Source organism: Homo sapiens, chromosome 4 (assembly GCF_000001405.40).
Source record: "Homo sapiens chromosome 4, GRCh38.p14 Primary Assembly".
Taxonomy (NCBI): domain Eukaryota; kingdom Metazoa; phylum Chordata; class Mammalia; order Primates; family Hominidae; genus Homo; species Homo sapiens.
Genome location: NC_000004.12, coordinates 100,202,062 through 100,217,356, shown reverse-complemented (window position 1 = coordinate 100,217,356; position 15,295 = coordinate 100,202,062). Strand labels below are relative to the sequence as shown.

Genomic DNA, 15,295 nt, shown 5'->3' with positions numbered 1-15,295 from the left:
AAAGAATGAAATCATGTTATTTGCAGCAACACGGATGGAGCCAGAGGTCATTGTCTTAAGTGAAATAAGCCAGGCACAGAAAGATAAAGATTGTATGTTCTCACTCATATTTAGGAATTAAAAACTTTGATCTTATGGAGTTAGATAGTAAAATGATGGGTATCAGAGGCTGGGAAGGGTGTGTTTGGCGGCACTGGGGGCGGGGAGGAGGATGGAGAGAGGTTGTACAAACATACAGTTAGAATAAATTCTAATGTTTGATAGCAGAGTAGGTTGACTGTAATTAACAATATATTGTATATACCCTAACCCTAACCAAAGTAACATTACATTGGCCACAAACTTCGGTTGTATATGACAGCAGGCAAGCAATATCAAGTCACCAAGGTACATTTAGTTTGAGGACTCTGAGTCTTCTCCACCACCCAAGACCACATAAGTCATACGCCTTCTCCATACATGTCTGAGGAAAAAAAGCAGGGAGAGAGGGAAGCTGCTGAACAACTGGGCAGATTATTTTATGAATTGAAAATTTAAATTATTAGATCAATAACATTTTAAACTATACAGAAAATTTAATTTTTTTTCCTGCTATTAGTAAATAAGGATTTTGGAAGAAAGCCAATTAGTTATAAATGTAATAAAAATTTTGCATTTCCATTGTAAGTTTTAATTGTGAATTAATTGGATTTGTGAAACTGCTACCTCTGGTTCTGCTCACACAAAAATCTTGATTCAAATTGCCAGCTAATTCCATCAGAAACAATGGTTCTTTATACTGAGTCTTTGTGGATATGACCTAAAGATTTCCAGAAAAGTGTAAATCCATACCCTGCACAAAGAACCATACACAATTTATGGTACAGTTACCTTAGGTATAAATCTACATGAACATCTACAAAGGATGCAAATTCAGAGTCTCACCCTTCTGTTTTCTCCTCCAAAAATGTCAAGGAAAACCCTTGGTTCTAGCTCTTGGGCTTGTCTCCATTCTGGTCTCGTCTTATTCTTCACATGTCGTCCAAGTTTCCCCTAAGCATGCCCCAGGTTTTCTTGTCTTGTTTTGGTGTTGTTTGGGGTGTTGCTTCCTTTTACCCGGGCCCTTCGTTATTATCTCTGCTAACATACTTGCTCTAAGTCCCCTTAGGAGCATTCTACTTAATGAATTTCTACTGAAATTGACTGCCTCAAATATGCACTGCCACATTCTGCCTGCCTGCTTTATTATCCAGAGGTTGGCTTGTCGTTTGCCTAAACCTGAAGTTCTCTTCTAGCAATAATGCTTTTTATCCTTTACATGAATAAATTGGGCATGAGAAACACCCTCGAGGGTTACTGAAAAGACTCTCCTCAGAGTTCAGCACAGGACGCTGTGAGAATTCCTATGCAACATCGTTAAGCACCCCATACCCAACGGTGTGCAAGTTTTGGCATGGAAATGGCAGGTATCGTAGACATTGCAACTTTCCTAGCACATTTCCTCCTGGATTTACGCTTACAAATACATTTTTGACAGCAGTAGTTTTTGCATTTATTACATATTGCTTTGGATAAATTGCTTAGATATTTACTAGTTTTTATTATTATTATCCTTCTGAATGTCTTAAACTTTGGTAGCTACATGAATACATTGCATTTGGTGAGTCAAATTATAGTTTAGAATTTAAGAAGTTATATCTAATGAAATTGTAAGAAAATTTTGCTTTGGGACATTTGACTAATAAAGATTTTTATTCTTCTGTGAAATCTAATGATAATTTCCTTCTAATGCAATAAAATTTTCATTTAAAAAGGGCTGTATATTTTCTGTTATGTTCTTACATAAAGACTTTTCCAATACAAAGAATTAAATGCAGAATAAAGCAGTATTTTATTTCTATGAGATGGGCACTGAAACCAATACACAACACATTCAGAGATCAAAGCTAACTGTCCCATATTCTTGTCTCATATCTTGGGTGTAGCTTCCTTTTATCGGGGCCCCTTCTGGCAAGCCTCTGACCAGGTTAGCTAGACATTGAGAAGAAGAGTCCAGAACTTCCACCTCCATGCCTCCATTCCAGATTACCTATGGAATCTGAAATGAAAGAGATGCAAACAGAGAAAATGTATTTTGCTAATGTGAGTGCATATTCCCTAAGATACTATACTCATGCACTCAATTAAAAATAATCAGTCTCCTAATTGGTCCAGGTGCTGAACTGTGCTCTCTACAATACACAATGACACAGTCTCCACCTTCCAGGAGCTCACAGACTTGAAACGAAAATAAGATGTGCACAAGTTATCCCAACAATAAGGGAGAGAGAATGGAGGCAACAGAAACAGTACCCACAATAATGCTAGAGAAGTTTGAAGGAAGAAAGTGACATCCAGCTTAATGTTTGGCAAAGAGTTCAAGTAGAAAACGGCTTTTGAGTTGAACTTTGAAGAATGTGCCCTATTTTCCCATGGTAGACATGAGAATTGTAGCTTTTACAGGTGGAGAGTAAAATAAAAAATGTAGTGGGAAGTCTATTCACGGCGTACAGGCAAAAATCAGAAACAGGGACAGGAAAGCACTGGGAAATGGGGCAGCAGAAGGAAGGAACAGAGAATGTTGCATACAAGGGGAAGGGCAGGAGTTACTTGGTCTTCAGTCCCAGTCCTGCTCTAGACAACCAAGGCTGTCAGGAAATCAGAACCATTTTCCAAAGCTGCAAAACTAAGGAAGATATGTTTGTTCAACAAACAATAAAGTGGGCTACTTAAGAACATAATCCCCTAGAACAGGAAAAGCTGGCTGTGTTAGGGTGCATCGCCTTTCTGCTGTATTGGTTCAAGTTGGCTGATTTAAGAATCTGTGCCTCATTAAGAGTAAAAATGTAAGCAAGATCAAACAAAATTTACATAAGATGTTTTATTCAGCTGAATTCTCCCTGAAATTCAAATTGGCTGAATAAAAACAAAGACGCTGAAAGACTGTTAACAAAGTCAAAATTTTATATGATCTGTGTATATGCGGGCTGAAATTTTACAGTAAAGCTGTTAGCTAGAATAAAGAGCCATTGGCTTACATTCTTTCAAAGCTATCCCGTCATCAAGAACAGAGATAATCTGTGACCAATAAGATTTCCAAAATAATTATTCCAAGAAATCTAGAGATTTGCATGTGTTGTCATTTAGAAGTAAGTTTGTGATTAATGTGAAAGCAAAGAAAATTCTCTTGTCAAAAAAAAAGATATAGGTAGTGTTTAATTTATCAAGATTGCATACAACACTACCATGCTATTTTATGACTCTGAAAACACAATTTTCGTAGAGACAATTGAGGGAATTAGATGTGCAATTTCAAACTATCCATTGAACACTGCGAATCGCTATTATTTTATGGTTGTTACTCACTAGCAAGTTATTTTCTGTGCCCTTTTAATTTGAGGAACAATCTAAACAACATCACAGTCCTAGAATCATTACTATGTAATGTCAGTTAAGAGGCTTTTAATGGAAGGCACTTCCTAATGGAACCATCTATATGAGAGAAAATAATCACATAGAGCCCTGGTCCAATAAGACCTTGGCATTCAAAAGAAAAGGACAGAATCAAAGACACTGAAGAGGAGAAAGGGACATTATAATGTAGCTAGATGTCTCAAGGGGGTATTTTCGTCATTGTTTTGTGCTATATGACTTAACGTTGGCTTGCACCATCCACTTTTCTCCATAAATCTAATCAAAATGGCAGCTTAGAAAAAGTAACAAAGCCCTGAGGTCTTCCCTGATATCCTGGCTGATACTGTGTACCAGCTGCTCCACTGTCACTGCCTTACCTTCTTTTTCTTCTTTTTTAATTTTTACAAAGTTCTTCACCCCTTCTAACATATCATATCCTTTACTTAGCTATTATGTTTATTGTTTATTGTCTGTCTTCCTTGACAAAATATAAGATCCGCAAAAAATCTTTGTTTTGTTCACTGATGTTCTGATGTACGTGAAGAATCTACAGCAGTGCCCTGTACACATTAGGCCCTCAGTAAATATTTGTTGAAAAAAATAACTAAATCCAGTACTTAAAGGAGTGCACTCTTGAGAATTAGTTTTCTACTGGTGAGATTGGTAAAAGGCTCTAAATGGAATTGCTGAAGCTATAACGTAGGAAGACTAAAGAGATTTAATATGCCAAGAAAAAAAAAGTGTATGCACTCAGGCTTACATATCAAGTCTCAGATAAAGAATGGGTGGGGGGGAACAAAACTCATGTAAATCTTCAGCTATGCCCACAAGTTCTAGGAGGGAATGTAAGTAGAGTACATTACCAGAAAGAAAATAATCTACTATATGCTGGTTGTATACACACATGAACACATGAAAGCTGCTTAAAATATTATTTTCCCTGTTGAATCCCTGTTCAGGTGGTTTAAAGCAGATTTCTCAATGACACAATGATTGGCAATTTGGGTTAGATAGATGTCTGTTGTGGGGGCTATCCTGAACCTTGAAGGATGATTAGCAGCATTCCTAGCCCTGCTCACTAGACACCAGTATCACCTACCTCCCACACAAGCTGTGGTAACCAAGTATAACTTCAGAAATGACCAAATGTCACTCTTTGCTAGTGGAGGGGAGGCATTGTTGAAAAGCACTACTTTCGAGTCTGTCTGGGTTAAGTATCTTGCAGTCTTTCTTTCTCTGGCCTCCCTTCCTCTTCTTTCCTTCTTCCCAATATTATGTCTATATTTTTAACCCGTTTACCTTTCCCCCACATTCCTGGCTTCACCCTGGAGGCTTTTCAAGTTCACAATCGTCACTATTCCTCTCTTTGTTCTGAAAAGCTGGTGCATGATTTTTACTGGCCATCTCAAGAGGTAAGTTTAGGTCAGTCAGATTCTTTATAACAAATTATTACCAAAAACAAATAGAAAGAAAAGAAAACAAGTTCATCTTACGGACACCAATCACCTTTCATAGCATAATTTCTGAGCGCTATTAGACAAAATTTCTGGCTTGATACCTGCACCCTGGGGATAGAAGGAAAGAAGAGAAGAAAGAAACAGGGAATCATCTTTGCTTCACCCCATCCCTTGTACCCAGTTATCTCAGAAGTGGGGAAATGGAGTTCCTAGGCAATTAGCACCCAAGAACTGTATACTACATTCAATAAGAAATTTGAATGAGCATGACTTTCACTTCTGACAGCTCCAAGAAAGAGACTAAAACCTACATCCTCAGCTCATGATAGGGAATCGAGATGCTGCATCTTATTTGTTCTGATGTTTTTTTCCAATCATTCTTAAGCATCAAAAACCCTTGTCAGAGTCTAACAGAAGCAAAGAAAGGTAGAGAAAGGTGTTAAAAAATAGTACAACATTCAATCTCAATTCTTGCCTAAAAGAATTTTTTTAAATGCTGTTTCAGCCTTTAGTTTTGCAAGTCACATTTCATGACAACACTGTCTAGAAAAATGTACTGTGTGCCCAAGTCACCAATACAAAATCAAAACACCCACTATAAATGTGATGGTGAATCAAATTCCACCAGGCAGAAATAAACTCCCAAGGAATAAGCTTGAGATTTTCCGGGAAGCACTGATTCTTTCAGGGCAGTATAGGAATCATTTGATGTGCAAAAATTTAGGAGCTTTCTGAACACACAGCTAAACAGGTGCATACGCACACCACAATTAAATTGGGAGCTCATTTTCTTGAATTAACAGCAGGGATACAAAGGTGGAGACAGAAGTTTGATCTAAATTGGACACTGTTTTCCTCATGCCTTTGTACCGTCCCAGAATTTTTTTTCTTGTACCTTCCCAGAATTTTTTTCTCCCCTTACAGCCAGTTTTCTTATGCTTCTAGACTATTTCCTTGCATTTTTTTGGCTTTGAATACCCTATACGTGAAAAGCTACCCATCTTCCTTAAGGCACACTCTCCAAAAGACCAGATGAAATTACTTTCAACTGTTATCAGCCCTGAGAATGTTTCGCTTAACTTCTACTATACCTTCCATTGTCAGACTAAGGTGGCCTAGAAAAAAGAAGGTAGAGAAAACAATATGGGGAAAAGAGAGAAATCAAAAGTAATTTGGCACCAGCATTTTCAGAGCATCCATTGAGTATTATGGAGTGAAAAAGGAGCATGTTTATTTATGGGGAAAATAAGACAAACAATCTAGACACAGTAGCTTTCTCTTTAAATAAATAAATTCATGCTAAACATAAACATTCTAAAATTACTTTCTTAAAGTCTGTTGAAATGTCAAGTTGAATAAATTTTAAGTAAGATAATCACACATTTTCTTACAGGAAGGTGAATTTTGGGTTAGATTTAAAAGGAAACTGGAATTGTATGTTTCAAAATAGCTAGAATAGAATAATTTTAATGTTCCTACCACAAATAACATAAATGTTTCAGGTGGTGGATATCCCAATTACCCTGACTTGATCATTATAAATTGTATACATGCATCAAAATATCACATGTACCCCCAACAAAATAGGTACAACTATGTACAACTATGATTTACCCATTAAAAATACAATAAATAAATAAGTAATTTTAAAAAGCAAATTAGAGATCTAGTGGATAGATGGAATGGGGAAGAATAGTGTTAAAACAATTATCTTTATAACTGGAAATATGTCTCAATGTTTGTAATAAATATTTAAAGCTATTAATCTTTATTTAAATAAAATGTATCCTATCAATCATATTAAAACAGAGTTCCGGTTCCCTTTCTGCCAATAAACAACTCCGTGACCTTAATAAAGACTTCCCTCGTCCCTGAATCCCTGTTTCTTAGCTGTTAAGTAAAACAATTAGATTAGCTTTTATCTTAAAGTCTACTGAAATTGATGAACAAAATTTGCATAGTCTCTGGGACTTTTAGTCCTAAAGACTTACCTGGAATACATGTAAAAGCATTATTTATTTTACATTATTCTTTATGTTGAAAACTCCCCAAATGCTTAAATTATAATTGCTCAAAAATACCTTGAAGAAAAATGGAAACATAACCACAAAATGAGTTCTAGGTATTTGAGGAGCAGGCATTTACTTAAAGAATGTGAAACAAATGCCCTATAAAGGCCCTCCCCATTTGTTTGTTGAAATGTTTTAATTTTCTACCTTTCTAACCAGGCTGACATTATATTATGCAAGACAGATAAAAATAAAAGCAATCTAATGTGTTAACAAAAATTATAGTATATCTGATGTGCACTACCTATTGTTTCCTAAAAATAAGAGCATTGAGGGATTGGAGCTAAGCTGGGCGGTTTCAAAAGGGGAATTGAAGTAAATGGGAAAGGCTTGGAGCATGAGGCACCGTAAAGGCGTGCAAACTTTTCCAACAGTGAAGAAGCTGGGACTCCCAGGCTAAGTACATCAGAAAGCCCAAAGATGCTGAGGTAGCCAGGGTGGGAATGAGCGAAAGGCGCTGTGAAGACAAACCAACTCAAACTGCATTTTTCCTTTGCTGTCACACCACAACATCCACAATCAACACAGAAAATTTCCATGACCAAACATGTGTGAGGTCTTCCACACACACCAAACAAGCAATCAGTTATGCAGCGGCTGCCAGCTAGGTGCCCTCTAATTCAATTCCTACACTATCTACCTGGAGACACCATCAGATGCCACAGGTTGAGGGCTCAGTCCCACAAGATCAACTCCCCCACCCTCTTGCCTTTAGCAACCAGTCTCAAGTCCGGGCCTCCTGAACTTCTGACCAACTGGCTTCAAGTTGGGGCTCCTAAGTCTCCCTCTTTGATTTTGATTAATTTGCCAGAGTAGCTCACAGAACTCAAACACTTACACACATTTACTGGTTTGCAATAAAGGATTTTTCAAAGGAAACCAAGGAAGAGATGCATAGGACAAGGTATGGGGAAAGGGGCGTGGAGCTTCTATGCCCTCCCTGGGTGCAGCCCCTTCCAGGAACCTCCATGTGTTCAACTCTCTGGAGGCTCTCTGATCCCTCCCTTCTGAGTTTTTATGCCATTGCATAGGCATGATTGATTAAACCATTGGCCATTGGCTGTCTCCAGTAGATAGTATGGAAACTGAATTGGAGGGCACCTAGCTGATGACTGCTGTAGAATTCATATGTGGGGGGAAAACCCACACATTGGTCACAGAAGCCTTCTGTGTTGATTGTGGTTATTGTGGTGTGAGAGCAGAGGAAAAATGCAGTTTGAGTTGTTTTTACCTCACAGCACTTCAGCCTCTCTGTCCTCCCCAGAAGTCAGGGGTGGGGCTGAAAGTCCCAACCCTCTAATCCACCCTTGTCTTTCTGGTGACCAACCCCCATCCTAAAGCTACCTAAGGGCATCCAGCCATCAGTTAATCATTAACATACACAAACACCATCACTCTGGAAGACGTAAGCATTTTAGAATTTGCATGCCAGGAAACAAGAGTCAAAAGCCAAATACATATTTTACAATGTCACAGGACCCCAGGTTGCACAGAGAAGAAGTGTAGAGGATCACGAAAGGTAAAGTTCACCTACTTTATGGTTTTACCAAGGGCTCTCCCTGTTTAGATACAAAATATTTGTTGAAGAATGTTGCCATATGCAGAGACTCACGAGGTGTCTTAATCCCAAAGTGAACAAATACTCACCAATAGTGTTGGCAAACTCTGCTGTATCTCATGGACTTCAGCGGACCTGTAAGGAGACCAACTGTGCTGTGTCAGATCAAGGCTTTCCTATTGTAAGAGGAGACAAAGTCCCAGGGGACTGACCCACTTTTACCAAGCCGACTTCTAGAAAAACTCAAATTCCCAGATGCTGGAATTCTTCCAGAAATGAAGCAATTTGGTAAGTTGGTGGCTGAGTCAACTAGTCCTGTTAGATGGTCAACATTGTTTTGTTTTTTTTTTTTTAATATTTTTAAGTGGCAACTCTAGTGTATGAGAGAATGAATGCGACAGCTCAATTTGTAGAAAGCTGCCTTGACTCTCTTGGCTCCTTCATAAACCCTGTAACTAAATGAAAGTTTAATAAATCAAGGGAAGCTACCTTTCTTTTTTCCATATTTACCCTTCCCCCTCACCTCACTCATAATTTTACAGGTTCCTTTATCAACATTTAAGGTGGTTGATCATAAAGTGGAAATGTAGAAGATTTTCTTTAACCCTGAATTAGCAAACCAAAAATTAGAATTTGTTGCATTCCTAGAACTAAGGTCAGGGTTCCCAAGCAGGTACTCAAGCAAACACAAAGACAAAACTTCCATTTCATTTCAGAAAAGCCTCCATAATCCCATGAGTTAATTCCCATAATAGATCACCTCATCTATCTATCTATCTATCTATCTATCTATCTATCTATCTATCTGTCTGTCTGTCTTTCTGTCTGTCTCCTGTTGGTTCAGTTTTTCTGGAGAATCCTAATACATATACTCTTTTTCCTGGCTCTTTGAGTATAATATGATTGGCTAGGGTTAAGGACATAGCCTCCTGTACCCACTAGCTCATTCCTGATTTAAGGAGTCCCCTCCAGTCCCTCAGAACACCACACTTTTTGTCAATTATCATTTGCATTAATATGCTTGAAAAATGTCACTTTCATGCATAAAACACCTCCATACTAAAAATAACTCCCCTTCCTCTCCCACTCAAAAAGAGAACTCTAATATAATGGTTACATATAGGGAAAATTTTGAACCTGAACTTACTTTGTAAATTACATTTAAACATTCACAAAACGTAATACCTTATTTTTTATAACAGATTATTTGTGAGGTACTCTTACAACAAAAAAGAACAGTCCATTGTGTCCTATCTAACCCAAAGATTAAAATAAAATAAATATACTTCAGCAAAAATAACTATAGACAATGAATGCTATTTGTCAGGAAGATATAAATTCCTATAAGGAAGTTTTTCTGATTATTTTACTCAAAGGTATAAAAACTTCTCAACCAAAATCAGTTTCTACTAGAATATAGTCTGTCATGTTTAAGTCATGGCAGCTGAGCCAGGACTATATTCTACACTACATCAAGTAAGATAAAGGAGCTCCAGAAATACTTTAAAGCAGGAATTTAAAGTGTAATTAGGATGGCTAACATTTAAGTGATATTCAAGTTGCTCCTTTATGAGGCTTGCAAGGCCTTTTGGAATCTGACTCCCATATCCTCCCTTTCCAATCTCATTCCTCATCATTTCCCCACTTCCCTCCTCTAACAACCTCCATCCATCCACATTATGCACTTCAGCTATTCTGAACTTCTCTCCTGAAACCAGCCACTCATAGAGCAACACTTTTCAAATCCTGGCTCTACTTGAGTAACCTGAGGCAAGTTTCTAAACTCCCTGTGACCCAGTTTCCTCATCCTCATTTCTAAATTTATAACAGTAACACCCAAGTCATAGGGTCACTGTAAAGATCAAATGAGATTATGACTACTCATATGAAATTCTTATCATAGTACCTCATGTAGTAAATGCCCCCAAATACTGGTTGTTGTTAACAGTATTGATTCTTCTGTGCATAACATTTATTCCACTCCTCACCTCCTCTCACATACTTAGTTCCTATGCATCTTTCAAACATCAGCTTAAATAGGAAAGCTTCCCCAAATAACTGCCTCTTACCTAGGTGAATATTCCTCCTATTTGTACGACTGTAATCCCTGCACATCCCATATCAAAGAACTTAACATCACTTGCCGTTATCTCCTGTATGTTGTTCCTATTCTCCCACTGAACTTCAAGCTCTGTGAAGTACTTCATTTATTCAGCTCCCCATTTAATCTCCATCCTCTGTCATAGCACTTGCTACATATTACGCTTTCTGTGTTTGTTGAAAGAATGAACGAATGAAACTCAACTGGCAAGGGAAAGTCAATTTGGCTTTAATTTAGATTTTGGGTTTTTTGCTTTATTTTTAATATAGTCATGGTCTCTTCTGTGAAAATAGAAAAATCTAAACAAATTAAATTTAACAGACTTTAATTAAGCAAAGAACAATGCAGGAATGGGGCAGCCCCTGATCCAGAATAGGTTCAGAGATACTCCAGCACTAAATGGTTGAAGAATATTTATGAAAAGAAAAAGGAAAATGTGCACAAATGGAAGTGGAGCACAAAAACAGCTGGATTCTTTACAGCTTGGCATTTGCCTTACTTAAACATGGTTTTAACAGTTGTCTGTCTTGGATTGGCTGAAACCCAGTGATTGGTAGAAGAATAGGTTACCGCCTGTTTACATGTCTAATTAAGTTACAGTTCACTACGTACAGAGAAGCCTTTAGGCTGAACTTAAAATTGTAAAGAGACAGCTGTAGGCTCGACTTCATGTAACACTTCTATAGCATGTTCAATTAGCTAACCATAGGCATCATTTCTCTTCTACCCTCCAAAACTACTGATGCTACTGGAAAAGAGAACTTCCAGCAGTTGTTTAACTGGGAATAAGTTGAAAAATTATTTGAAATGGAAGCCACTAGAATGAATTGTAAACACTTCCTTAATCTTTCTCCTTTGTATGCCTCAGCAGATAAGGCTGCTTCTGTGCCCCAAAATTGGGACCACATGCTCCGTAGTTTCCTGCTCTGACCAATTGCTATTTGTGTTACCAAAGCATATTTTGTAGATTTTATTTGAAAAAAGAAAGTTAGAAAATACTCAAAGTATTGTATAACATGAATTCTTCATTTAAATTTATCATATTTGATCTCTGAAAGCTAAATAATTAAAATCCCATTTCTACTAAATTATTCTTTTTTTTCATGCAAAGGCTAAATGCGAGATCTAACATTTCACAAAATTTTGGGTCTTTTTTTCAAGACACATGACAAAATATAAAAGCATTTTTATCAGGATTAAAGTAATTTATGGAAACTGTAGCTCCACATTATAATTCACTATGTAAGCAATGATCTAGTTCTATTACAATATTATGTTTTTTAGTACCCATTATGATTGTGTGTTAAGTGCTTTCCTTGCCACGATAGTAAAGTTACACACATACATAGTAAGCAATTATAGGTATAATACTCACCACTGTAATGATAAATAATAAATAATGACATTTCTTAAACTCTAGAGATGTATTTATCTATTCAGCCAATAATTATTAAGTATCAGACACTGCGCAAAGAATGAGCATATCATGGTGAACAACAGAGAAATGGGCCTGGACTCCTGGAACAAGATGAAAACGTTACAGAAATAAGCCTAAAATATATGTATATACTTATAAGTTATAATAAAATGTACAAAGAAAAAAGACACTAAAAGACAGAAGGAATCTAATTTAGATTGGAATGTTAGGAAAGTCTTTCCGAGGATATGGTATTTAAAATTAAACTGAAAAGCATGAACACCAATTCTATGCAAACTCTCTCAGAAAATATAAGAAGAGGAAACACTGTATAAAAATCTTCAATAAGGCCAGCACTGTACTGACACCCAAGCCAGACAAAGATAGAACAAGAAAGGAAGAAAGGAGAGAAAACTCCCAATAATATTCCTCATGAAACAGGAGGAATATTATTGAAATTGAAGTGAAAGTCCTCAACAAAATATGAGCAAGTGGATTCAGGAATAAAAAGAAGACAACATACCATGACTAAATATGTCAGTAAATGTAAATCTGGTTGAACATTTTTAAATCAATAGATATAATTCACCACATCAATAAATTAAAGTAGAAAACCATATAATCATCTCACAAGATGCAGAGAAAATATTTGACAAAGTTTAACATCCACTCATGATAAAACCTCTCAGCAAAGAGGGATTGTGGAGCACTTCCTCAACTTGAAAGTGAGCATCTCAAAAATACTTCCAGCTAACTTCATAGTCAGTGAGGAAAGACTGAATGCTTTCCCTCTCAGAGTATGAACAAGGCAAGAATGTCCTCTCTTACTACTCATATTCAACACTGTACTTGAGGTCCTTGTCAGTGCAATAAAAGCAAAAAAATAAAATAAAAGCATCCAGAGTGGAATGAATGGAATAAAACTAAAACTGTCCTTATTTTAATTAATTAATTTATTTATTTATTTGGAGACATAGTCTCGCTCTGTCGCCCAGGCTGGAGTGCAGTGGCGCGATCTCGGCTCACTGCAAGCTCCACCTCCCGGGTTCACGCCATTCTCCTGCCTCAGCCTCACGAGTAGCTGGGATTACAGGCGCCCGCCACCTCGCCCGGCTAATTTTTTGTATTTTTAGTAGAGACGGGGTTTCACCGTGTTAGCCAGGATGGTCTCGATCTCCTGACCTCGTGATCTGCCCACCTCGGCCTCCCAAAGTGCTGGGATTACAGGCGTGAGCCACCGCGCCCAGCCAAACTGTCCTTATTTTTAGAGAACGTGATTGCTTGTGGAGAAAATCTCAAAGAACTTACCAAAAACTTAGTAGAACTAATAAGTGATATTAGCAAGAATGAAAAAAACAAGGTCAAGTTTATTTTGTATATTGTAGTTCTGCATTTCTAGATAGTATTTCTGTATTTCTATTTTTTCCATATGCTAGCAATAAACAGTTAGAAATTGTAATTTTAAAATAGCATCAAAAACATAAAATGCTTAGCTATAAATCTAACAAAATATATGCAGGTTCTGTGCTGAAAACGGTAAACCTCTAATAAAAGAAATCGAAGAAGATCTCAGTAGAGAGCTACATCATGTCTATTGTTGGAAAACTCAATAGAATTAAGATGCAAATTTCCCCCAAAGTAATCTGGTTGCAAAGCAATTCCATTCAAATTCAAGTAGACATTTTCTTTTGAAATCTACAAACTGATTCTAAATATATATGAAAATGCATAAGAATAAAAAAGTCAAAATACTTCTGAATGAGAACAAATTTAGAAGACTCACACTATCTGATTTCAGGATGTATTATAACATAGTGTAATACTGGTGAAAAGACAGACATGTAGATTCATGGTATAGAATAAAGACTAGAAATAGAGTAACTATACATGAGCAATTGATTTTTCACAAAAATGCAAAGGCAATTCAATAGAGAAAGCATTGGTTTTTAACAAATGGTGCTGGAACAACTGGAAATCTATATGTAAAAAAAGTTCTAATTCATACCTTGTATCATACACAAAAAGTAACTAAAATAGATCATACTCATAAATGTAAACCTATAAAACACATAGAAGAAAATTTACAACAAAAATCTTTGTGACCTTGACTTAGACAAAAATTTCTTGGACATGACACCAAAAATATGACCCATAAAATTATAATAAATTAGACATTATCATAATTTTAAATTTTTCTCCAAAAGATGCTGTTAGAATAAAAACACAAACCACAGACAGAGAAAACATTTGCAAAACACATATCTAATAAAGGGCTTACATCCAGAACACATAAAGCCCTCTCAAGCTCAATAATAGGGAAACAAATAATTCCATAAAAATACATAGGCAACAGATTTGAGTATATAGTTCACCAAAGAAGATATAAGGGTGGCAAATAAGCTTATAAAATCCGATGTTGAACAACAGGGGTTATAGGAGAAATTAAAATTAAAGCCACAATGAGCTACTGTTACATTCTATTAAAAGGGCCTAAATTTAAAAAAAAAAAAAATTAAAAGATGACAGCATCAAGTTCTGGCCAGGATATGAAGCACCTGGAACACTCATACATTGCTGGTGGAAGACAAAATGAAACAGCCATTTTGAAAATCATTTTAGCAGTTTCTTATGAAATTATTATTATTATTTTGAGATAGGATCTTGCTCTGTCACACAGGCTAGAGTACAGTGGCACCATAACAGCTCATCGCAGACTTGACCTCCTGGGCTCGATCTTCTTCCCTCCTCAGCCTCTGGAGTAGCTGGGACTACAGGCACATGCCACCACACCTAGCTAAATTTCTTATAAAATTAAACACACTTTACCATATGACTCAGCATTTCACTTTTAGGTATTTATTCTGGAGAAATGAACATGTTATGTTCATATACAAACTTGTAAGCAAATATATACATAATGAGATTATGTTTAATATCAAAAACTGGAAACAACTCAAATGTCTTTCAACTGGTAAATGGATAAACAAATTGTGGTATAGCTGTGCAATGAAACTGTATTCAGAAATCAAAAAAAAAAAAAAAAAACTACCAATACCCACAACAACCTGGAAGAATTTCAAATGTATCACTCTTAGTGAAAGAAACCAGACTCAAAAATCTATATACTTGTTTAATGATATTTGTATGTCACTATGGAAGAGATCATTATTTGCCAAGGACTGGGAATGGGATGAGGGGTTAATTAGAAATACACGCAAAGTAATATTTTGTGGTGGTGGAACAGTTATAAATTTTAACTGT

At 36.5% G+C, this 15,295-nt stretch overlaps 1 long non-coding RNA gene across 1 annotated transcript in view; it reads right to left on the bottom strand.

Annotated features, from left to right (window-relative positions):
• Positions 1-1,851: 1,851 nt before the first annotated feature.
• DDIT4L-AS1 (DDIT4L antisense RNA 1) overlaps positions 1,852-15,295 on the bottom strand; it is a 25,473-nt gene continuing 12,029 nt past the window's right edge. Inside the window, exon 5 of the long non-coding RNA NR_125924.1 lies at positions 1,852-2,077. This is a non-coding gene — a long non-coding RNA (DDIT4L antisense RNA 1). The remainder of the gene's footprint in view (positions 2,078-15,295) is intronic.